Source organism: Homo sapiens, chromosome 3 (assembly GCF_000001405.40).
Source record: "Homo sapiens chromosome 3, GRCh38.p14 Primary Assembly".
In the NCBI taxonomy this organism is placed as follows: domain Eukaryota; kingdom Metazoa; phylum Chordata; class Mammalia; order Primates; family Hominidae; genus Homo; species Homo sapiens.
This window is the reverse complement of record NC_000003.12, coordinates 5962532-5989309: the sequence shown is the minus strand read 5'-3', so window position 1 is coordinate 5989309 and position 26778 is coordinate 5962532. Positions and strand designations below refer to the sequence as shown.

The 26778-nt window shown below is 40.2% G+C and overlaps 1 long non-coding RNA gene across 2 annotated transcripts; it reads right to left on the bottom strand.

Annotated features, from left to right (window-relative positions):
- Positions 1-842: 842 nt before the first annotated feature.
- LOC102723596 (uncharacterized) lies at positions 843-26778 on the bottom strand. Of its 2 annotated transcripts, XR_001740591.3 has the most exons (3): positions 26229-26778; positions 25795-25876; positions 843-4785 (listed from the first exon to the last, which is right to left on the bottom strand). It is a non-coding gene; the product is annotated as an uncharacterized LOC102723596 (long non-coding RNA). The 2 variants fall into 2 exon arrangements; XR_002959612.1 differs by lacking the exon at positions 843-4785 and having other exon boundaries at positions 25709-25876.

Sequence of the window (26778 nt, the reverse complement as noted above, 5' to 3'; positions counted from 1 at the left end):
CTGAGAGGTCTGGGATATTCACCCATGGTCAATCAATGCTTATGAGGCACAGCAAGAATCAGTGTGGCAGATATTAAAGACTCAGGTAAGTGAGTGGGTCAGATCAGATCCATATACTGTATTTCAATTATCCTCCTTCATGCTGGGTGTTTCAAGTGCAGGAAACTTGGAAGGCCATTCTTTTCAGGCTACCACGCATGTTTCAATGATAATGGCATGCAACAAAGAGTCTGCTTAGAATACCCACTTTTGAGACAGCAGACACAGAAGCAGCAGCATCATAGCTACCATCTAGTGAGCGCTTACACCTTGTCAGATATTGCTCTTCTAAAAGCATACAATTTATATTTATTAACTATCATTATAATATATATTATTAGCTATATTATATATTAACTATCATATAATTTACTTCCTCCTTATAAATGACAAATAAACCAGCATCAAAATAGCCAAGATGTCAGGCCTTTCTCCTGACAGGTATTAAAAAGCTTACACCTGGAACTGCCACAACCAGCAGTATAAAAACAGACCATTGAACCCCAAGGAACTCCAGAAAAATTTTGCTTTATCTAGCCAGAATACTCTCTGCACAAGATTCCAGTGGTTTTAACCAGAATTGAGGACCTCTACCCTTGCACCCTGGATGTGAATAGCATTTCTTAAAACTGACTATCATATAGGAGGCACTGAAGGGCTTCAGTAGCTTGAGACTGAAGTAATTCAACTCATGGTTAGATACCATCCTTTCAGAGTTGGAAATCTGCGTTAAAAAGAAGCTTACAAACATGCATTTTCAAAATAACTTATTCAAAGAAGCCCTAAAGAACTTAAACAATAAGTAAAGTATATCTGATACTTCAAAACAATCTTTCCCATTTAAATCAATCTGAGTCTTAAACACAGGGTGAGTATCCATTATCTGAAATGCCTGGGACCATTAGTGTTCCAGATTTCACATCTTTTTGGATTTTGGAATATTTGCATATATACAATGAGATATCTTGAGGGTAGGATCCAAATCTAAATGTGAAATTCAGTTATGTTTCATATACACTTCATGCACATAGACTGATGATAATTTTATATAATGTTTTAAATAATTTTGTGCATGTAAAGAAAGTTAGGACAGTGTTTTGACCATAGCCCATCATATGAGGTCAGATGTGAAATTTTACACTTGCGGCATTGTGTTTTGAACTTTGGAGCATTTCAGATTTTAGATTTTCAGGTTAGGGATGCTCAACCTGTACTATAATAATTCCAGACTGGCTACATTCCACCTTGCCTTTGTAAATCATATCTTTGTAAATAACAACACCTAAGTTTATCTTAACATAGACACACCAGCTGTCTTCTGTTGGGATTCTGAAAGGACAACAAATATCTATGAACAATAATCCAGACTTTTATACTGTACTATGAGGACAGAGTGGTGACAGTGGGAAAAAGGGGTTGTCAATGGGACTTCACTGATCTTCAGTGATAGTATCAGGGACTAGTCTGTGGAAATAAAGAATCTATTTGCCAAGTAATTAAAACCACTGTGATTCTTACCAGAAAATTCTCCCAAATAACATGGTAAGAAATTAAAATATAAGAATATTCTTTATAATATTGCCAGGAATATAAAACAATTTGTTGTGTTCTCTTTTCCCAATTCCCCACTGGTAATTTACCCAAACTAACTCCTAAACAGTGCAGCAGTAATCCCAGAGATGTACTTTTAGATAGCCAATATATTAAACATTGATTATTTGGAGATTTTATCTAAAACTCGCTTAATCACAGCTTGTCATACTATCTTTATTGATTTGTTACTGGTCATTGTTCATTAAGATGCCAGAGAGCAAAGAATTCATTTTTAGTGCTCTCTTCCAGATACCAGATGTTTATCTCCTAACAGTATAATTCAAGGTCAAGGGTGTTTATTGTGTTTAGACAGAAAAGCAATCAAAGTAGTTTGGGATTTAAAACACACAGAGAGAGGGAAGTTTGCAGTTTCTGCTTACTCTAAGGATTGCTGCTTTGATCACAATATGCAATCTGAAGAGTCTCTGAATATTTGCTGAGGCTTCAAGGTTTAGAGTGGGAGGTGGTTTTTTTTCTTTTTATATTTCACTAGTTGCAGAAAGAGTGATAGTAATTATTGCCTTTTATTCCCAAGCAATTTTGCTTTCTGAGTGACTGCATTTTAAATTCTGTGATCTATCTCCAAGGTAATCTTAAAGTCAACAGACTGCTTAATTTGCCACTTTCTGGGGTAGGTGAATCAGCTTAGTAATGTCAATAGCCACGTTCTCATCCAATCTTAAGTTCCCTAGAAATAAGACATAAAATATTTCTGTATATGTTTGATCCCTATGAAACCTGGTAGACTTTTAGGTATATCAACTCAAAAAGGTGATGAAATAGATGCTAATATTCTTTTAAGGAGACTATACTATAAATTTTTCAGAGCAAAAATAATTAAAATTATATTTCTTGCTGTGTGCAAATACCAAACGCTCCATAGAAATTGATGAGAAAAAGAGAAGGAAAGGTTACAAGTAGACAATATTCAGAAAAGATAAGGCATAAAGTCAATACATACATTAAGTGCTCAAGCTCACTAATAGTGAAATAAGCATATTAAATGAAAAATGAGAGATTTCTCTTGCACATCAAAATGACAAAATGTATATAAAAAATTATCCAGTGCTGAAGAGGATATGGGAAAACAAGTACTTTTGTGCATAGTTGGTGCAAAATAAATATTGTCACTCTTTTGAAATGTAGTAATGTCTATGGAAATAGAAAAAACAAAATGCTATTTTTGATATTTTTGATCAAGTATGTTTACTTTTGGTAGCCTCTATAAAATGAAAATAAATATGCAAGAATATGTATTACTTTATTGAAATAGAAAACAATGAGAATTAATAGGTCTGAAATAAATGTATTATAACGTCAGCTACAATGTAAAGAATGACTTAGTTCCATTCATATCTACCAACCTGGAGAAAGGGTAGTGAAGTATTTACATGTGAAAAAATGTTGCAAATAAATGTATATAGCATCATTAGATTTTTTATAAAAACCAAAAACCCTATATGGATGGTAGCCAGCCTCCAAGATGGCCCCCAGTGGCCCCTGACTCTTGATACTCATACCCTTGTATAATGCATGGTATTAGAGTTGGTCTCGGGACCAAGACCACACAGCAGAAGTGATGGCATGTGACTGCAGTTTATGCCTGGCTCTTTTTACTGAACTGGCTTTTCTGGGGGAAACCAGGCGTCATGTTGTGAGGCCTCTCAAGCAGCTGTGTGGAGAGTTTTACGTGGAAAGGAACTGAGGCCTCCCACTGAGAACCAGCCCAGTGAGAAGCTAATGCCTCAGCCAACAGTGACATAAGAAGCAGATTCTCTTGCTCTAGTTAAACCCTGCAGCCCCAGTCAACATTTTAATGGCAACCACATGAGAGACTGAGCCTGAACAACCCAGCCAAGCTGCTCCTGGATTCCTGTCCTTCTAAAACTGCGGTATAATAAATATTTATTGTTTTTGTGAAGGCTAAGCCCCTGAGAAATTTGCTACACCGCAATCGTTAACTAATACAATATGGAAAACATTGTGAAAGGGAACATCATGGTATTAAATTGTTTACCTCAGTGAGTTAGAGGTGGAAAGGTTTTGAAATGTTTTAATTTCCATTTCATATTTTGTGTGCTACTATCACCATGCAGAAGTAGTTACATACTCCAGACAGCATTCTGGTGGCCTATCATTTAACCAACAAATACTACAAATATTGACTGAGTAAACCCCAAATCTCACTCTGAGTCAGGTGCTGTTAGGTGAGGAGGTTTAAAAGTAAGTAACATACTATGTTCTCAAGAAGACACATTTTGATACAGGCAGTAAAAACTGATACTTATCCTCTCTCATCTTAAAGCATAATAAATGTTATAATAAAAGCATGCATAAAATGCCATTGGAGAATGAAGGGAAAGAGGATAGTTCTGTGCGCAGAAGATTGCTGAAGACTTTACAGAGAAACTCACCTCTGAGGTACACTAAGACATCCAGTAGAGTCTTCCAGGAAGGGAAAATGGAGGAAAGGAGAAACCAATATTGGAAAATACTGGATGTTTGTGATTTATCTAAGTTCTGCTATTCTTTCGGCACAGATTTCTTCTGCTCACACCTTCACCATCAGAGAGAATAAAAATTAAGAACCTATATTACAAAGCATATGACAGGTTATTCTTATTTATTTATATATTGGTGTGCTATGAGTGTTAACATTAAAGAAGAAAACCTGCTGTTATTCAGCTTTAAAATGCATTTAAGTGGAATCTGATCATCTAGAACAGAATGGGAGGACATGGAGCTTCACTCAGGGGTCAGCCCTTTTACAGTGATGGCCAATGTCCAAACAGTCAGCAGAAGTGTACACTGATCTTCTCACCTAGGTACTCCAGGGCCTGTGCTATGGTCTGAATGTGCCACCTCCAAAATTCAGATGTTGATAATATGATAGTCATAAGAGATGTGGCCTTTAAAAGGTGATTAGGCCCTGATAGCTCCTCCCTCATGAATGGGTTTAAGGTGCTCTCATTAAAGGGCTTGACAGACAAAGTTTACTTCTTTTCACCCTTTCACCTTCTGCCATGTGATGATACAGAGTTCCTTACCTCCAAAGTATGCAGCATTCAAGGCACTTTTTACCAGCAGTAGTTGGACACTCACCACAAGGTGAACCTGTCAATGCCTTGATCTTGGACTTCCCAGCCTCCAGAACTGTGAGAAATAAATTTCTACTGTTTATAAAGTACCCAGTCTGTAGTATTCTGTTACAGCAGAATAAAATGCACTAATGTGGCCTGAAACTAAGGGACTTATGGGGTAATTCAATGGTACTTGCAAAGCTGAATGGTTTGGTTGAACCTTTTGTTTTTCACAGGTCTTCTTGGTTTTCAAAGACATCGGTGCTCATAAAGCATCCTTAAAGTTGTAAATGGTAATTACAGATGGGGCTTCTTTTCTAAGCTTACAGATGTGTGGAGATAACATTCAGCTCAGATATTTAGAAAACAGGATTTTGCATATAATATAGGACAAAATGACTTAAATAAATGAAAAACTGCCGTTCCCCTCCCCATCCCCAAATATCACTCTGAGATAATTAAGACCTTAGGAATACATCTCTATAAATTTTAATTGTATGGCATCCAATTTTTGCACTTATTGGAAATGAGAGTTGTGTCTATTTTATCAGCCTTATGCCATTTGGATAGGAATAATGAACTGGCAATATAATAGGAAAATTGACATCCCTTCTCTCAATGCAATTGTTACTGTTACATTTCTTAAATTCTAGTCACTTGAGAACAAGTCAGCGCTGCAGGGAGCAGCTGATTTTATGGACCAGTCATTTGCATAGTTGATTCCAAAGAAAGAGAATTGTAGAATGTTTGAATCAGAAGAAGGTTATATAAATAAGACTCTATAGATTGCAAATGGCAGAAAATCTCACTAGTTCTATCTCAGTCAAACAGAGAATGTATTGATTTTGTCATGGGAAGTCTAGAAAGCTGAATTACTGCAAGGAAGCTTTCAGTCATGCCTGGTAGGTCCTTTCTGTCTGATGTCTGGTCCCCCAATGAGTCGGGTTGACTCCGTTCTCAAAGACACTTGCAAAAATGATAGCACCCAGATAGCTGCAGAAGTTTCAGCTATGTATTCACTGAGGTTCAAATCCATCAGCACAGAGGTCCTGCCTCTCTTTTCCCTAGCATCTCCTGTATAAGACGATGTCATTGGCTCTGACTGGATTCTTACATCCAATATAACACTTAATCATGTGGCCCAGGAAACAGACTTCAGGTGCAAGCCATTTCTGGAGCCAAGGTTGAGGTTATTACCATAAGCCCTATTAGGACAGCGAATTCCAAACCCATAACTGAGTCTTATGAAAACAGCACTGCCTGTAATGTTGATGAAAAATATCAAAAGCATTATGAGGCCTTGAAGACTGCATTAACAGTTTGATTTCCAAACCTTGTCTGAGAGACTGCCAAATTGCTTATTTTCTCCATTTCTCTCTAACATTTTGTCACCTCACAGGCTTTCCAGAATTCCAAGAAGGAAAATAGAGCATATAAAGTCTGAGACACTCTGCTCAAATATTGAACATCAACATCAGCAGAGTACTTGCAACTCTGCATACTACTCTCTCCTTACAACCATCTAGACAGTCCAGGAGAGTGGGTAACAGACTACGGCCTGTGGGCCAAAGTAAGTCCTGTGTATTAAGAAGGGTTTTCATATTTTTAAGTGGTTAAAAAATAATTAAAGGATTTTTTACTGTGTCTCATGACACAGGAACATTATATGAAATTCAAATGTCAGTGTCCATAAATAAAATTTTTATTAGAACACAGCTACACTGATTTATTTTGGTATGGTTTGGCTCTGTGTCCCCACCCGAATCTCTACATAATTCCTACATGTTATGGGAGGGACCTGGTGGGAGATGATTGAATCATAGGGGCAGGTCTTCCCATGCTGTTCTTCTGATAGTGAATGTGTCTTATGAGATCTGATGGTTTTAAAAACAGGAGTTTCCCTGCACAAGCTCTATTCTCTTGTCTGTGGCCATGTGAGACATGCCTTTCACCTTCTGCTATGATTGTGAGGCCTCCCCACCCACACAGAACTGTGAACCCCAATAGACTTCTTTCTTTTGTAAATTGCCCAGTCTCAGGTATGTCTTTATCAGCAACCTGAAAATGAACTAATACAGTAAATTGGCACCAGTAGAGTGGGGCATTAATGAAAAGATACCTGAAAATGTGGAAGTGATTTTGGAACTAGGTAACAGGCTTGGAGGGCTCAGAAGAAGACAGGAATATGTGGGAAAGTTTGGAACTCCCTAGAGACTTGTTGAGTGGCTTTGACCAAAATACTGATAATAATATAGACAATGAAATCCAGGCTGAGGTGGTCTCAGATGGAGATGAGGAACTTGTTGGGAACTAGAGCAAAGATGACTCTTGTTATGTTTTAGCAAAGAGACTGGTGGCATTTTGCCCCTGACCGAGATCTGTGGAAATGTGAACTTGAGAGAGATGATTTAGGGTATCTGGGGGAAAAAAATGTCAAAGCATTCAAGAGGTGACTTGGGTGCTGTTAAAGGCATTCAGTTTTAAAAGAGAAACAGAGCATAAAAGTATAGAAAGTTTGCCACCTGAAAATGTGATAGAAAATTCAAACCAGCTGCAGAAATTTGCAGAAGTAATGAGGAGCTGAATGTTAATCCCCAAGACAATGGAGAAAATGTCTCCAGCGCATGTCAGAGGTCTTCACAACAGCCCCTCCCATCACAGGCACAGAAGCACAGGAAGAAAAAATGGTTCTGTGGGCTGGCTCAGAGTCCCCCTGCTGTGTGAAGTCTAGGGACTTGGTGTCCTGCTTACCAGCTGCTCCAGCCACGACTAAAAGGGGCCAAGGTACAGCTCAGGATGTGGCTTCAGAGGGTGCAAGCCCCAAGCCTTGGCGGCTTCCACATGGTGTTGAGCCTGCGTGTGCACAGAAGTAAAGGACTGAGGTTTGGGAACATATGCCTAGTTTTCAGAGGATGTATGGAAATGCCTGGATGTCCAGCAGAGGTTTGCTGTAGGGGTGGGGCTCTCACAGAGAACTCCTGCTAAGGCAGTGTGGAAGGGAAATGTGGGGTCAGAGCCCCGACACAGAATCCCTACTGGTGCACCGCCTAGTGGAACTGTGAGAAGAGGGTCAACGTCTTCCTGATCCCAGAATGGTAGATCCACCTACAGCTTGCACTGTGTGCCTGGAAAGGCCACAGACACTCAACACCAGCCTGTGAAAGCAGCCAGGAGGGGGGATATACCCTGCAAAACCACAGGGGCAGAGCTGCCCAAGTCCATGAGAACCCACCTCTTGCATCAGCATGACCTGGATGTGAGACATGGAGTCAAAGAAGATCATTTTGGGGCTTTAAGATTTGACTGCCTAGCTAGATTTTGGACTTGCATGGAGCCTTTAGAAACTTTGTTTTGGCCAATTTCTCCCATTTGGAATAGCTGTATTTACCAATGCCTGTACCCCATCGTATCTAGAAAGTAACTAACATGCTTTTGATTTTACAGGCTCATAGGCAGAAGGAACTTGCCCTGTTTCAGATGAGGCTTTGGACTGTGGACTTTTGAGTTAATGACGAAATGAATTAAGACTTTGGGGGACTGTTGACAAGGCATGATTGGTTTTTGAACATGAAGATATGAGATTTGAGAGGGACCAGGGCCAGAATGATATGGTTTGGCTCTGTGTCCCCACCCAAATCTCATCTTGTATCTCCCATAATTCCCATGCGTTGTGGGAGGGACCTGGTGGGAGATGATTGAATCATGGAGTGGATCTTTCCTGTGCTGTTCGGATAATGAATGGGTTTCATGAGGTCTGACGGTTTTAAATATGGGAGTTTCCCTGAACAAGCTCTATTCTCTTGACTGTGGTCTTGTGAGATGTGCCTTTTACCTTCCACCATGATTGTGAGGCCTCCCCAGCTACATAGAACTGTGATTCCAATAAAGCTCTTTGTTTTGTAAATTGCCCAGTCCTCGGGTATGTATTTATCAGCAGCATGTAAATGGGCTAGTACACATTTACATACTGCTATGTTTGTTTTTGTGCTGCAGTGGCAGAGTTGAGTACTCATAGGAGAGACCATGTGCCCAGCAAAGCTGAAAATATTTACCAGCAAAGCTGAAAATATTTACTATCTGGCCTTTTACAGAAAAGGTCTGCCAGCCCATGGTCTATTGCAGTTGTTCTCACATATTGGTCACAGCAGTCCCCAGGGGTGCTGATTCCTGGGCCTTCTCCACAGAGAGTTTGCTTCCAATTCAATACAACTGGGTTGGAACCCAGGAATCTGCATTCTAAATCCCCATGGATGATTCCATGTACATCTTCTGAAGCCAAGATTTCAGGAAAACCATGGCTTCCTCATAAAATACTCTAAGGAGAAGTATCTTACTATCATTTAGATTTTTCTTCAACACAGCATTTGTGTTAGAAGTCAACTTAAGGGCACTGACAATTATGAAGAAAGAAATAAAAGGCAAAGATTGTTTTTGTTTTAATAATACCATCCCCTCAAGGGGACTAGAAAACTACTGGCTTCTTTCCTGCTTCATTCAGAGAAGTTTCTAATGATGAGACCCAGACTGGCTGTGGTTTTCTAAATCAATCTTTTATGCTCCTTAAGAGCCAGAGGTTAAATAGAGACAAGAGATAACATATCGACCATGGACTACAGATAGTGGAGCTGAAGTAAAGCAAGTCAGTCATGAGAAAGCATAAGGGACCCCTGAGCTCAGCTTGCTTAGAAAATATGTCTAATCGGAGACCAGCAAGTCAACAGCCACCTGGAATAGGAATTGACTCAGTAGGATTTTAAAAATAGGTATCAATGGTGAGGAGAAGACTAGAGTCTGGAAAAGAAGAGCTCAAAAAATGCACCTTAGAAATAGACATTCCAGGCAGGAACACATCGTCTGTTCACAGGCAATAGTTAAGCTTCACCCGGAATTTTATTCACACATCCTCTCTTTCAACAAATACCTTGGCACTATGGGCCAGTACCTGAGCTACAGAATGACCAGTGAATAAGACAGACATGGTCTCTAGTGCTTAGATCATCCAGCTGCAAAGACAAACATTAACTGAGATACACTACACACACACATACACACACATATATATAAAATATTTCAGCAGCTCTCAAAGTGTGGTCCCTAGACCAGCTGCACATTACCTAAGAACTTGTTAGAGATGCAAATTCTCAGGTGCCACTCTAGATCAAGAATCAGCACTCAGAAACTCTTAGGGTGGGGCCCAGTCATTTGTTTTAATGAGCCCAGTAGGTGATTCTGACGCATGGGTCAGTGTTTTGGACCTCAGTTGCCTCATTTGGAAAATGGGGTTAATAATACTTTACTTACCTACAGATACAGCCTAGATTATATTGGGCATGAAATACTTGGTAGCAGCCCCAAGATGCTTCTTAACCAAGGCTGCATGGAGCATGGCTAATGGTGTCATACACAACTTTCCAAAGCCTCATAGAAGGAGAGATTATTTTCAATTCTCCTTGATCCTAAGAGCGTCTCCCTACCTCGGAGACTTCAAAACAGCATCCCATCGATGCAACACATAGAGATCACAGTCACGGAGCAGGACAACTCTGATCTATGCAGAGTAAAAACAGGAAGATGCCAAGCTGCTGCTTTACAATACCAGTCACCTGCTAAAAATACATTCAGAATCTTCTAGAACCATTCAGGAGCCCCTGAAGCCCAAAGCACACATCTCAGGGCATGTCGTATGAGAAAACAGTGATGCCATACTTCTGAGTTTTACTCCCTCACCATACAAGTTAATGGGAAGGTACTGAAGGCTAGACAGAACGCTTTACCTGGCAAACATCGTATTGTATTCTCCATAGGTGTTGTATACAAGTTGGTAGACTATGCTAAGTATGATTTTCCTCCCAAATTGACTCATTCTTATAAAATCCTTTGATTATGCGTGCAAAGACTGTAGGAGACACTGTTTATTCACCTCTCACATCCCCCAACCCACCTCTGAAGTCCCCTATTTGCACTGAGAGTCCCCCTGCCCCACCTCCTCAATAAGTGTCAGCCTTTCTCTGATTCTCTGTCTGGGAGTTTTCTGAGAGCTTTTGCAGCTCCTGGGCAGGACAGTTGGGCAGTACCTGGAATTTAACACCCCAGGAAGAACCCTCAGTTCTTGAGAAACAGGTATGGGTGAATACCCAGCCCAGCTTCCCCATCCCTCCATGTGGCTATTCCAAAGCACATTTTATAGGGAATCTCAGAGACGCCTGGTTGGATTGAGTCCTGGTTGTCCACAGCACTAACCAGTCATTGGCTTTTTTCCTTTTTCTTCATCTTGGAATCACTTCTCAGGTTAAGTACCTTCTTGGAATCACTTCCCAGGTTAAGTACCCACACCCAAGTCCCTGTCTCTGCGTGAGCTTTCAGAAGAATACAAGTTTACACAGATAGAACGCAGTGGAGCTGTGTTCTAAGCCCGGGCAATTCAACCCCACTGCCTATGGTTTTTCCACTGTGCGTACTTCCTCAGAACAGCAACTTGCTGAATCTGCAGAAGCAGTAATCCTTGTCCTACATAATCCAGGAGCTGAGAAGTTTGTCTTCAGTAATCTAGTCTTAAAAACTTTGTAAACTAGATCAGAACTCATTGAATCAAAGAATCAGAATTCATCAGAATACAATGAGTGCTTCATCACTAAAAGAGAAATCATATTTTTTTTTAAATTTATAAAACTACTGAGATGCTTCAAACATAAGAATGCCTCTATGTCATCAAACCAGCCCACCAACAAGAGCACTCTTTTGATGCATGTCTCTCAGGAGACCAGCAAGCATTGCGAATGCATTCCAGTTGTTCAGAGATACCCAGTGTAACAAAGGAACATTCAATATTTCCACTCACTGAAACATTGCTGATTTTATTATGCATTTCTGCATTTCAAAGATAGCCATTTAAAAAGCCAACTGGAATTACATACATTTTTAAGGAGCGGCACTTCAGCTCATCTAAATACTTTTTATTGTATAAACCTATAAAGTAAATAGCAGATTTCAGTAAGCCGAATAATCCCAGAGGAAAGTGGCAGGAAGAAATAATGCTCTCAGCCATTCTCAGAGACAAGTAGTAGGGGATTAAAACGCCTTCTGAGATCCCTTCTGTCTCGATGATCCTATGATAAAAAGAGTTGGCGGGAGGGGGAAAAAGCCTCCATACCCTTCCATTAGCTCTTCTTTTCTTCAGAAATCTTTCATTCTGAGACAACGAATGTCATCGGACTACAATACGAATTATTTGGCTTAAAGTTGGAAATGGTGCACAGAAAAATGGGGAATGCAGATTCGCTCCTTTGAATATTTACTAATTACCATCTACATCATCACTGTTGAAATAGTTTAGCATTTAATTTTACTCCACCACATTATTTTTCTACATTAAATTCAATCTTACTTGGAGAGTTCTCTAACCAGGGTGATAAGAAACCAATTTGACTCATGTTGTAAGGTATCAGTTTTAGGTGATCTTTTTAGGTTGTATAAGCTTCCAGGGACACTATGTGGTGTTTGGAAAATAGGTGGAGAGCCTGTTCAATCATGGTCAATATCACTATGCAAATTGTTCAGTACAGAGCACTGCAGACAGACTAGTCCTTTATGCTTACTATTGCTCCCAGGGCCATTTCAATAAAGTTATCAAAGCCACACCTCTCACACTTTAGGCCCCCAGGCTCCCCAGGCCTGTGCAGCTCCTCTGAAGTAGCACTGTGGGAATGGGCACTGGTGCTCACCACTCCTAGACATAAGAAGCATTTTCGGCCGGGCGTGGTGGCTCACGCCTGTAATCCCAGCACTTCGGGAGGCAGAGGCGGGCAGATCACGAGGTCAGGAGATCGAGACCATCCTGGCTAACATGGTGAAACCCCGTCTCTACTAAAAATACAAGAAATTAGCCGGGCGTGGTGGCAGGTGTCTGTAGTCCCACCTACTCAGGAGGCTGAGGCAGGAGAATGGCATGAACCCGGGAGGCGGAGCTTGCAGTGAGCAGAGATTGTGCCACTGCACTCCAGCCTGGGTGACAGACCGAGACTCCGTAGATCAAAAAAAAAGAAGAAGCATTTTCCCACTGTGATGGTTAGTAGGTTAGTACTGTCAACTTGATTGGATTGAAGGATACAAAGTATTGATCCTGGGTGTATCTGTGAGGGTGTTGCCAAAAGGGATTAACATTTGAGTCAGTGGGCTGGGGAAGGCAGACCCACCCTTAATCTGGTGGGCACAATCTAATCAGCTGCCAACGAATAGAAAGCAGGCAGGAAAATGTGAAAAGGTGAGACTGGCCTAGCCTTCCAGCCTACATCTTTTTCCCCCGCTGGATGCTTCCTGCCCTCGAACATCGAACTCCAAGTTCTTCAGTTTTGGGACTTGGACTGGCTCTCCTTGCTCCTCAGCTTGCAGACAGCCTGTTGTGGGACCTTGTGATGATGTAAGTTAATACTTAATAAACTCCCCTTTATATATGTATATATATAGCCAATGCTAGCTCCCTTTTCTGGGGATAGGACTGAGTAGGTGAGAGAAGAAGTACAAAATCTTATTTCCTTCAACTCACTGCGTTCCACCTGCAATATCTAATAATAGTGAAGAATAATGCCTCATTTATTAATCATTAACGATGTGCTAGGATTTTGTAGATATTACCTCATTTAATGTATTAATTACTGCCAAAATAATATTATCCATGCCATTTTGCAGATTACAAACTAAAACGGAGAGAAACTGAAGGCATGTTCAATGTTGTATTGCTAGGAAGATCCTATGCTGGGATTTGATCACAAACTGCCCGATCATGGGTATTTTATTCTTACTGAGTTAGACAAACAAGGGCTAATAAAATTTTCTAAAAGGTATTAAGTACTGAGCACTTACTATGCCCAGATATTCTTCTAGACCCTGAAGATAAAATAGAATACAACTCTGCCATCTTTGTACAGTACCCAAGACAACACTTGAGGGATTTTTGAGAATTAAAATTGGAAGATTCTAATCAAAGAGCTGCAGAGTGCATCCCACATAAAGTCTCCTGTCAGGTATGGAGGATAGAAAAACACCAAAGGCAATGGGGAAATAAAAACTGGGAGAGTTCATTAAGATTCTATACCTAGAAACAGATGTATTAGAACCGAGAGGCAAAGATTTGACTCACAAACACAGCTATTCAGTTATTACCTTATATTTGGATTTTTTCTCTGGACATTAACAATGTAAAATACACAGTGTCTCTTCTCTTCTCAGCCTAAAACCCCACAACATCTTTTTCTGGTATTTAAAATTAAATGCAAATTCCTTGCTATACTAGTCTATTCTCGTGTTGCTATGTAGAAGGTAATTTATAAAGAAAAGAAGTTTAGTTGGCTGAGAGTTCCACAGGCTGTACAGGCATGGCATCAGAGTCTGTTTGGCTTCTGGGGAGGCATCAGGGGACTTTTAATCATGCTAGACTGTGAAGGGATAGAAGGCACATTATATGGTGAAAGCAGAAGGAAGAGGTTGGGGGAGGGAGTGTCACACTTTACCACAACCAGATCTTGCAAAGAACTCACTACCATGAGGACAGCACCAAAGTATGAGGGATCCACCCCCATGGTTCAGTCACCTCCTACCAGTCCCCACCTTCAACACGGGGGATTATAATTCACCACCAGTTTTGGCAGGGACACAAATCCAAACCCTATCACTTACCATGTCCTACCAGACACTCTATGAGTTAGTCTCTGCCTACCTCTTTCACATCAAGCATTATTTCCAACACTCAACCTCAATGCAGCTGCGTGTCTACACTGTTCCTGAAACATAGAAACTCATTTCCTCCTTAGGGCCTGGGTGTTTTCTATTTCCTCCATCCAGAATTTCATATCCTTTTTCTGCTCTTGGCCACCTCCTTCTCATCAGTTATATCTTAGCTCAAGTGTTAGAGAAATCTCTGTTACCCAGTCTATGATAATATCTCTCTACCTTCTCATGCATTCACTTGAAGAAGGTTGAACACTATATTCAAGCACTGTTCTAGGCCCCGGGGATAAAACAGGGAACACACGTGGTCAAATATTTGCCCTCATAACACTTATTTTCCAGCGAGAGTGTTGGACAATAGGCATGGAGGAGAGCCGTCGAGGAGTGATACTTTCATGGCTTTCTCCCCCCGGCTGTACGTCTGTACGGAAGGTCCCAGCTCCTGCTGGATAGTTCTCGCTACACAGCCATGTCCCAAATTCCCATCACCTTTTTTCCCCTTGATCCCCTCCCATTAACGCCAGGGTACTACTCTGTTTTCTCTATAACCTGCCTATGTAACCATAAAACCAGCTCAACCTGGTTCAACTTAGTGTGATAAAAGTTGTGAGTTGTTTTTCAGTTGACACGGACCCTAGGTTGCAAGTTACACAACTGAGCATGAACCAAGTGTGCAACCACATGGAACCTAAGTGCTCAGACCAAGGAACGGGGACCAAATTAAGAGGACACCACATGGCATAATCCATGATCCAATTAGATTGAGCCCTGGTGTCACCCCATGGGAAGATTCCAATCAGATTATACCTTGTTACCCTCTGCCTGTAAAACCAGCCCCAGACCTCAGACTGGAAAGACAGATTAGGGTGTTTGACTGTCTCCTTGCCAGTCAATTCACAATAAAGCTTTTCTTTTCTCAAAAGCTACTACCATGATATTGGCCGCTATGCGCATTGGGCAGCAAGACCACTGATGGCTTGGTAACAACTACACTTTTACAGTCACTTTATTCAAATCCTCAAATTACCCAATATATGAGTGTCAGTCCACTTTGTGTTATGAAAGGCCTCATAACAAGATGGTAATTAATCAGAAACCTGCAGGAAGTGAGGGAGAAAGCCAGAGAGGTCTCTGAAGAATAACTGAGGAAAACATTCTAGGAAAGAGGAATGGCAAATGCAAAGAGCTTCTATTAGTTTTGTAGTTCTGCATAACAAATTACTCCAAACATAGCGGCTTAAAACAACACACATGTAGCATTTCATGGTTCCTTACAGATTAGAAGTCTAGGCACAGTGCCACGGGGTTCCCTGCCCAGGGTCTCACATGGCTGAAATCAAGGTGTTGGCTGGGCTGCTACATCATCTCGGGCTCAGGATCGTCTTCCAATCCCACTCAGGTTGATGACAGAATTCAGTTCCTTGTGGTGATCAGAGCCATTTCCTTGATGGCTGTCAGTCGGGGGCTGCTCTCACCTACTAACAGTCACTTGCGTTCACTGCCATGCGGCCCCCTTTATCTTTAAGCTAGCAACAGAGAAATCCTTAAACATCAAATCCCCTTGTGCTTTGAGTCTGACTTTCTCTGCTCCTGACCACTAAACCCAGATTTAAAGTCTCATGCAATCAGGTAAGTTCCCTTCTCTCCTCTCCCCCAGGATAATCTCCCTGTTTTAAAAGTTAACAAATTTGAGACTTTAGTTACACACAAAAAATCCCTTCACAGCTGTATCTAAATTCATGTTCGATTAAATAGCTGACAGTTGGTGTGTGTACATCAGGGGCCAGGAACCTTGGGGGACAATTTTGGAATTCTGCCCACCACAGAGCCTAAGGCAGGAGCATGGCTGCTGTGCTTAAATAATTACAAGGATGCCAGAATTTTAGAGCAGCGTGGGCTATGACAGGTCGCAGAGGTGGAGGGATGGCAGCCAGTGAAGGGCCTTGAAGACATTGCTGGGACTTTGGCGTTTACTCTGAGATCAGAAGGCATTGGACTGAGTAGCATGATCTGATTCAGTGTTAGAAGTATTACTGTGGTTGCACGAAAATAGATCATAGGGAAGATGAGGATTGAAGCCAAGAAAACAGTTAGGAGGCTGCTGTGTCAACACTGGAGAAAGAGGATGCTGACTTAGACCAGGATGTTTATGATCACAGTTTAGAATGAGTCAGGTTCTGAATATATTTTGAAGGCAGGGCTAACAGGTTTTGCTAATAGATGGAATATGGGATTTGAGAGAAGGGAATCAAGGTTTTTCCTTTGTCGCACTATCACTCTCCTTAAATATTCAATTAATGTATTTCTCACTCTCTTAAAATACTTTATGTGCTTATTTAATTATTGTCTCTTGGCTCCTACTACAAAGTAAGCACCATTAAGTCAAAAACACTGTTTTGTCTACTCCTGCATCTACAGTCTGCTGCAGACTGTGGATGCATCAAAAGAAATATGACATTCAAAAGAAATATGTTAGATACATGAGTGAATGAATGCATGAATAAATGAAGCGACTTCTGCACTTCAGGCATTCATGTTCTTTTCACTAGTTATTTCAATATAGCAGTAATGGAAGGCAGACATCTCATTTAAGGACAGAAGGCAGTCTGTACACCCCAGGGGATCAGATCCAAACCTAACAAAGTATTTTGTTCCAGTGTATTGGTGTCATCTGAGAAGAATAACTGATTTTGTAAAATGTTTACTTGACATGTATTTTAGATTTGAAAAAAAATGGATCATAGGCGCTTCACATCCCATTTTTCTTCTTCCTTTTTTTTTTTTTTTTTTTTTTTTTACCACTGGGGGTTTCAGGAAAGAGGCTCAAGTTTTGTTTTGTTTTGTTTTGTTTTCTATTTTCTTTTTTATCTTTGTGCTTTTTATTTCCAACAGTCACAGTTTTCAGCTTTCAATTTTGTAGGCTTTCTGCAAGAGAGTTCTATTGCGCTCACTAAACATAATACAGTGCTAGGTTTCAAGATAATATTCACTTGGTTCAGTTCTTGGGCAATATAACCTTCATAGATGGCAGAATTTTATGAAAACCTAGCCCTAGTGCATTGAGAAAAGCATGGAGGTTGGAAAGGATGATGAGTTCAAAGAGGCTATAGACTCACTAAGGCAGTAGAGGAAAGAAAGCCTGATAAATTGTAGGGCTACTAGGCAGTATATGAAATCCAGCCTAAGCCGGGCGCGGTGGCTCATGCCTGTAATTCCAGCATTTTGGGAGGCTGAGGCGGGCGGATCACCTGAAGTCGGGAGTTCGAGACCAGCCTGACCAATATGGCGAAACCCCGTCTCTACTAAAAATACAAAAATTAGCCTTGCGTAGTGGCCGGCACCTGTAGTCCCAGCTACACGGGAGGCTGAGGCAGGAGAATTGCTTGAACCTGGGAGGCGGAGGTTGCAGTGAGCCGAGATCGCGCCACTGCACTCCAGCCTGGGAGACGGAGTGAGACTCCGTCTCAAAAAAAAAAAAAAAAAAAAAAAAAAAGAAATCCAGCCTAATAAAGCCTTTTAATTAGCAACACATGTGACTCATTAAAATTATGACATGTTTACTGTAAGGCTATTTGCAGTAAATATATAAAATGGATTATGGATAATGAAAAGAAAATGTGTACAATGTTTTTTGCTCATTTTCATTAAAATGTTAGTGTGATTTGTTCTGATGAAAAAATAGACACTGATCCAGAGGACAAAAGATTTACAGTCAGTCCAGAAGTGAAATAATACTAAAGTGAGTGAACATAGACTACCTGTCATTTGTGGAAGTAATCATTTGCTCAGCTTTCTGAGTGTCTAGTGATAAAGCAATTTCTCAGCTTCTTAAAATCCAGATGAATATAATGTTGACTTTTATACACAAACAGGTTAGAACATTTTATGTGCTTAGTTGCTAACCCATTTTCCGGCTTAACTGACCAAAGAGAATGTTTAAGTGATGCTGTCTTTAAAGCTGCATCAGTTCTATCCAAGGGTGCTAAAAGCTTTAGGTGCTTGGGTAGCAACAGATTAATAAGTCTCCTACCTGCACACAAGGAGACCTTGCCGCAGGCAGTGTCCTGCTCTTTGGCTCTGCAGGCCAGGAGCCTTCTATTATCTCTCTATGCATGTAGAGCTTGTATTCTCCTCTGGTTTGTCTTATTTTCTTAAGCCTTTGATATTAGAACATTAAGCTATGATTGTCGATTGTCCAGAGGTAGAGAAGAGATAAGGGGGTGAGGAGCGGGGGGAGTGGGGGAGAAGGGAAGAAGGAAAGAAAGAAGGAAGGAAGACATCTCGTGCCTGCCCTAAGTAATAACCAGGCTGAAGGTTGTAAGAATTTCAGAATACTCCCCTCCGTTTTGGATCAAGTTAGTTCATAGCCAACTAAAAAATTAAATCTCAAGGATGCATTTTGTGGAGGAATCTCGAATAATCGTTTTGTCTTTGGTTGTCAGGAGAAAGCAGAACAGGTGTATTCTTACGGATGTAACCCCCAAAGCCAACTTAAGAATAGTCAGGAAATGTGTCATCTGCAGACCTGCAGAGTTGTCAATCCCTTTCTAGAAAGCACCTGCAAGTATCTCACTGTGTAGTTCTTTGTACATTGCAAAGGTCACACAGTGAGAACTCACTGTGTTAAAAACAGACTCTTTTTAAGACACACAAAGATATATAGACATCCTGCCTGTGTGTTCTTTAAACACTCAGTGTGAATAAACCCTCGTAAGACTTGACTGGTGGGGAAGCCTCTACAATTGCCCTTGATGCCTGGAACAAACAGGGAATTACTACCTTACTCCTCCCTTATCCTTAGAAACCATTCATTTCCAAGCCCGGCCCACTTTATCTCCCAAGTGCATGTTTTCTCTTCTTCGTCACCAATGCCACTACCTTAGGTTAGTCCAAAGTTCTCAACGTCTGCCAGATGATACTCCTAAAACTTAGGTATATTTTTTCTAAATATATAAATATTTGCAATGTGTTTGGTTTCTTAGGTTCCACATTCTCCTGGTTTCTTTTCCCCAGTGAGTCTATCTAGATATCCAACATCGCCCCTAAAACTTAGTTTTCTTTCTCATTCTGCACCAGGCCTTTTTCTCTGACCTTATATATTTACTACTCTCAGGGCTTCTATTATCATCTTCTACATGTTGATAGTTCCTAGATATTTAGCTTTAGTCCATTTTTTTCTTGCTGAGTTCCAGATATATATATATTGAACTTCCAACTTGTCTCTATTGACTATAACTTGACATTTCTACTGGGATATCTTACAGAAAACTCAGATTCAGTATAACCCAAACTGTACCCATTATCTTATTTCCAGATCCAATCTCCTTCCTTCCTTCCTTTATTTATTTATTTATTTATTTTTTGAGATGGAGTCTCACTCTGTCACCAGGCTGGAGTGCAGTGGTGTGATCTCAGCTCACTGCAACCTCCAACTCCCCAGTTCAAGCAATTCTCCTGCCTCGGCCTCCCAAGTAGCTGGGATTACAGGTACTCACCACCACATCCAGCTAATTTTTGTATTTTTAGTAGAGATGGGGTTTCACCATGTTGGCCAGGACGGTCTCGATCTCCTGACCTTGTGATCTGCCCGCTTTGGCCTCCCAAAGTACTGGGATTATAGGCGTGAGCCACTGCACCTGGTCCCAATCTCCTTCCTAAGGAAGGGTTCGCCTTCAGTGGCATGACAACCTTCCCTGTTGCCTAGTCTAGAAACCCGGAATTTATTCTGACTCTTCATGTTTCCATCCTTGACATCTAACCCATCAAATAAAAATGCCCTACATATTATAACTCCAGATTTTAAACATGTACACTTTTATTCATCACTGTCACCATCCTCATACTAACCATCATGACCTTTGTCCAAGATTGTCTCTACAGCCATCTCACAGGGCTCCTGATTCTAAGCCTGCTCCATGAAGATTTATTCATCATCTTGCAGTCGTAAGAGTCTACATAGAATTATCTCATTATTCCCAGGGTGCTTCATCTTTTCAATGGTTTCCCTTTACCTTTGAGACGGCCCACTTTTCCAGGCTTATTTCTCGCCATCATCTCCATCCAGGCATCATCCTTCCCTTACTGAACTTCTTTTGGTTTTTCAAATGCACATACCATTCTCTTCCTCGCCTCTAGATCTTCACACCTGCTTCCCTTCTTAACTTGTACTCTCTTCCTAAATCTGCCTTCACCTGGCTCACTCCAATTTGTCCACAGGTTTCAGCTAATACTTCACTTCCTTTAGGACAAGCTTGTCCAACCCATGGCCTGCAGGCCACATGTGGCCCAGGACAGTTTTAAAGCAGCCCAACAAAAATTCATAAACTTTCTTAGAACATTATGAGATTTTTTTGCAATTTTTTTTTTTTTTAGCTCATCAACTATCATTAGTGTTAGTGTATTTTATGTGTGGCCCAAGACAATTCTTCTTCTTTCAGTGTGGCCCAGGGAAGCCAAAGGATTGACACCGTTTCTTAGAAGATCTTCTCTAAACTCTTTATTGGATTTTGTATTTGGTTTTCTATCCTAATCCCTTATCTATAAGACAAAGGCTGTATCTACCTTTCTTATTGCTGTGAACTCCGGAGTCTGTCATAATCCTGGAAATACAGTAGGAGCTTGATAAATGTTTGTTGAATTAATTAATCAATTAATTTATATGTTTGCTTTTCTATCTCTCGCATGAGACTCTGATATTTGTAAGGGCAAGTCTTCTAACTCCTAACTTTGGATCGCCAGTACCCTGTACCTAATGGACACTTGACACATATGGGTTAAGTGTACTAATTCATGGATGGATGGATAAATGGATGATCCTTACAGAAAATGCTATTTTGAGAAAATGTTACAAACAGTCTTTTGGAGATTTCACAGTAATGCACATAGACATTTACTGAAGTTTAAAAAGGGTCAGAGGAAGACAGGATAGCCATGAACTCTATCAAGAAATAAGCAGAGGAGAAAATATGCATATTTTCACCAACTAAATAACATATTTATGATGCTTTAAGATATGATAAAATGTATCTATTGTGAAATACATCTTGGGGATGATTCTTTAACTCTTTCAGGCCACTTTGGTCCTATGCCAAGTTGTCCTACACACACCTAGGAGAAAGTGGGACTTTGGTGAAGCAGTTTATTTCCTGTATTTCTAGCAAAAAAAGTGTTCAGCTTGGCAGATGAGGAAGGAAGGAGGAAGTAGTGAAGGAAATAGAGAGGGAAGGAAGGAGGGAATGAGGGAGGGAAGGAAGGAAGGAGGGAAGGAAGGGAGGAAGGGAGGGAAGAAGGAAGGAAGGGGGAGGGAGGAAGGAAGGAAGGAAGGAAGGAAAGAAAGAAGGGAAGGAAGGAAGGAATGAAAAAAAGGAGGGAAGGAGGGATCAAGGGAGGAAGGAAAATTTATCCTTAATAGGGGAGTTTAATATTTTCCCCAGAATATCAGTTCTAATTCATGATATTAACATCTTTTCGTTGGTTTTAAAAATCAGCTAAACCTGGTCCAATTATTTACTGTCCCAGACTTTTTGTCCAAGCTTATTCACCAAATGATGTCTGGGCTCTAATGGCAAGTGTCCCAAGAAGAAGTTCAGGAGAAAGCTGTATTACCCTTTATGTCCTAGTGTCAAACATCATACCTAGTGTCAAAAAAGCTACTTCTGCTTCACCTATTCATTGAGACATTGACAAAAGCCCATCTAGTTTCAAGAGAAAAGGATAGAGATTTCATGTCTTGATCGAGAAGTGCCAAAGTTTAGTTTTAAGAGAGGGCGATAGAGACTTCATGTCTTGATGGGGAAGTGCCAACACTTAGGAAAAAGGTGGATAATATTCCTCTGGCCATTTTTGGAAGATACAACAAACCATTATATTATTTTGATCACTGTAAATGTATAATAATACTTTTAAACAAGGATTCAAATGAATGATGCCAATATCTGACTCCGTTGACTATATGTGAAATGGTCAAGCTTTCATAGTGGCCCCAGGGCTGATGGTTTGGATCCTCTGAGAAAGTAGGTCATAGCTACCTGATTTATTTAGATTTTCCCAAACCAAATAGGAAATATCTATATTTCATTGCAGACAGTTCACTTCTAATCAGATATAACTTATGTACTAGAAACCTGGAACCATTTTGTAAGCAAAATCATTGGAATAAAACTGGCTAGTAAAGCTGGCTTATAACTGATCTTTCATGGTTAGAATTTGGAACAAGGGCACCTAGTAGGGATCTCCACAGTGCTAAAACAATCCACTGTGGATTCGGGAACATTAAGAATTGAGGGAAGATTTACTTTTGTTTTTACTCCTGCCTCCCCTGTTAATAGAATGACATACACTACACTGCCTGCTTTTCTCCTGCCATCTTCTCTTACGTAGAATTGATAAGCAGAGAACACAGGGTGAGAATGAACCTCCTCCTTGCCCCACAAAGGAAAGAAAGCACAGGCAGCTGCCAGAAAAGAGTAATAAAGCCTATCATTAGGTCTGCCATGATGTAGCTTGGCAGATGACCTCCTCAGAAGACAGACACATGAAACTGAAGCACGGAGACTCAGAAACTGCAGGGAGAAAAGAGACAGACATAGGAGACACAATGCTGAATGTGATAAGGAAAGAGGGATTGCATCGTCCTTGCCACAATCTTGATTATTTTATTGGTTCAAGATAGATAGTAAAAAGCTGAGATAGGTTTGAAAAAAAGTTATGTTTATCCCTAACCCTCTGGAAAAAAAATGTGTCATCTAACTGAAAGCTGTAACCTTTCTATTAGAGGAAGGTCAGTGTTATCAGAAGGGTAGACTGAAAAAAGTTCCTTTGTGAGTTAAATCTAGTTCAAGCGTATTTACAACTTTGCACAATTCATACTTTATCCATATTTCTTTACCACAAACTTGTCCAACCTGCAGCCCAAGGGCTACATGCAGCCCAGTGTGGCTTTGAAGGCAGCCCAACACAAATTCATTAACTTTCTTAAAATATTACAAAAAATTTTTTTAGCTCATCAGCTATCGTTAGTGTTAGTGTATTTTATGTGTGGCCCAAGACAATTCTTCTTCTTCCAATGTGGCCCAGGGAAGCCGAAAGTTTAGATACCCCTGCTTTACCACATAGCCTGTCCTGCAGAACATCAATTTCCTTCATTTTCTGTATCCCAAGGAAAATTGGAAAAGGCCATCTAGGTGACGATGTGGGGACCTCCAACCTTGTAATATTCTCCATAGAAGCTGTGAGGTGTCGAGGAGAGAAAACTAGTGGGAATATTACAGTTCTAATTTGGATACTGGTTCCTGCTCCCTCTCAACTTCTCCTTGGCCATATGTAGACTCCAGGGCTTCTTCTGAATACATCCGGCTGTCCTTCTTGAAAGAAATGAGTCCTCTGTGCTCATTAGGAACCCACTTCTCATTCCACTCTCTTCCCACGTGGTTTGGGTGGGGGCAAGATCGCCGATGGATGTGTAAATCAGTAATTAGTTGTAGGTTCAGTATTTAACCCAAGTACTTCAAATCAAAGCTAGTAATTTTACTTTCTAGAGTAAATGTTTAATTTGATGCTGTGAAGATGTAAACCTGGAGCTGCCAGAGAACTAACAAAAACAGATGAGAGAGAGAGAAAGAGGCCGAATTCTGATGACACCATTTGAGCCTTTGAATCCAACTAGATTGAAATCTGCTCCTTAATTATGCATTCTCATCGATTCCCCTTTTACTGATGAATTGTTTTATCCTATTATTTGTTATTTGCAAAGCAAATTACAGCCATGCCTACTTTGATGGGATCAGATTTGTTGGCTTCTGTGCACAACTCCAGCTCTAACATGCTGTTCATGATCCTACTATAAGTACATCGGATCTGATCCCAATTCTACAGTTGAAAGTATGATGATAGCAGCAACAGGGTTAGTTCTTTTCTACACTCAACTCAGGTCTCAGCTTTGTCAACTGGACAATTCAAAGTTGGGAACAAGCTTTATTCCTAACTGCTTTTCAATCTTAGGCAATAGTGGGGGTAACAGTGACCACAGGAAAAACAAAAAAAAACTGATGCCAAAAGATGATGGAGACAACTTTTCTAATTGTTTATTGACTATCGTAGCTAACTTTGGAAATCAGATGCCATATTGAGAAAAGTATAGAGTTTAAAATTCTGTTCTAATCCTGATTGCAGATTCCCAAGCTATGTGAGCTAGGTCAAGTTACTTAACATAAGTTTCATTAATATAAGGGTAAAAACAGTATTATAAATTATTAATTGCTAAACATTAATGGTAGTATTACTACTAATACTAGTAATATCCAGTTCATTCTGACCGTCTCCCTTTTTGTCGTCATTTCTCAGGTGTAGAGAATGCTTTATATTTTTATCAGTCTTGGGAGGAAAATGTTGTCAGTAGAGTGAAAGCCAACACTAAATTCATGACGAAAAACACCTATATTTCTAGCTATTTGTTCTAGTATAAGTAAAGTTTTATTCCTCTCTCTATTACCTATCACTATCTTCAGAATACTGTAATACTTTAAACCTTAATTAAATTATTTTTATGGAATTTTGCAATGTTCCTGAGAATCAAATGTATCTACAAGGTCACATAACCTTGGAGGCGGACACTTTTAAAAAATTTAAGTAGAATCATGCATCTGGGCTGCACAATGGCTGTGGTACCATTTGCTGAGGAAACAATAAATTAAAAGATTATTATATGACATCATAAAATCCAGAAAAAGAACAAGACTTTTATCAGAATAGCTTAGAGACAGCATGACTCCATATCTGCTAAATTCATGTCCAAAGAGCAAATCATATTCTGTTTATGCAATTGCTAGCTAATGAGAGGACCAGATAGGATTTATTTTTTGTAACACTCTGTCTTTTTATATTTACTTGATTGGAGAGTAATTTTAAAAGAGCCAAAGATAATTAATTGCTCTGAGTGGGTGCACTGTATATGATTGAAGCAAGGAAAAAATAACTGTAGGCAGCCAGGATCTGAAGGAGAAGGAATAAGTATTTGTATTAGTCCCCTCAGTGACTTTGGGAGTGTGCATGGTAACCTCTGCTGGTGCACTGTGGACGTGGTGTAAATCATAAGCAACATGAGTTACTTTACTCTCCAGATCTGAGACACAACTGCCTGTGCTGATGTTGTCACCAAATAACACTCTCAAAACCTCACACTTACCAATGAGAAGCCAACCCAGTGACCAATATCCTTTTGATGATAGTTTTCTTTTTACTTTTTTACTATAAGTAAGTTCAATCATTCAAGAAAGTAGTTTTTAAATAAATGATGAAATTGTATTTAAAGGTCATGGGTCTGTATTCATCTGATAGTGTCAACTCTATCAACAAATCATACCTGCAGCTGCTTAGGTCTGTAGATGGTGCAAAGCTAATTCTTGGACGAAGACTTCTGATTTATCACTCTTCCTCTAAATCTCCTGTAGGGAGGGATAGAGATTAGGAACGATAATCAAAAAGTGAGTCTTTTCTCATCCCTTTCTGTAACTCCACATATCTAATTTATCCAACAAATCCTCCAAAAAAACATCTCACACCCTTCTATTACCCTGAACTTCAATATTAATTCACGAGTGCCTGGCTCTGTCCTTTCTCGGTGACTCCACTCTTGCCAAATTTCATTTTTACACATTTTGTTTAAAATCTGAACTCCTTTCTATGACCTCTAAGGCGCTTATGTGGTCTGGATCTTGCTTCCCTTCTTTCCTCATCCTATCCTTAATTTCTAACTAGCTTATACCCTTCCTCTTGTCTCTTCACATGACTGATTACCTTCTCCACCTTCAGGACTTCCAAAATGCTTTCTTTTCAGGGGCGCTTTCCCTGATCTTGTCTCCACAGCAAGCCAATGTGCTCTGTCAGTCTTCCTCACTCGGGTGGTGGCAGAGGGACGGGGTCAGGATCTTTTTTTTCTCAAAAAATTCTCTCACATGTGAGAGGCAAATCTTCTCACACGGATTTGGCAAATTCCTTGGACTCTATAACATGCTACCACGCTCCATTCAGAAAATCAAGACAACTTGCTGGTGGCTGATTGTATCTCAGTCTCCTTGCTCTCTCTCTCCCCATGTGTACACCTATTTGAGAGAGTCTCTTCCTGCTGTGAGACATCAAGACAGCCACTGGGTCCTATAAGAGAGAAAGATTAGAAATTACGAAAGAGTGATGTGTAAGAATAATAGTAAGTAATTAACAAATAGTAACATGTCAAGAAGAAATATGGTCTGTGCATAGTGAAGTCAGGAAATGCGATATATATATCAGGTTTTCCTGTGAATAGACTCTCTAGAATGTATTGATTGGAAATAGACAATAAGCTAAA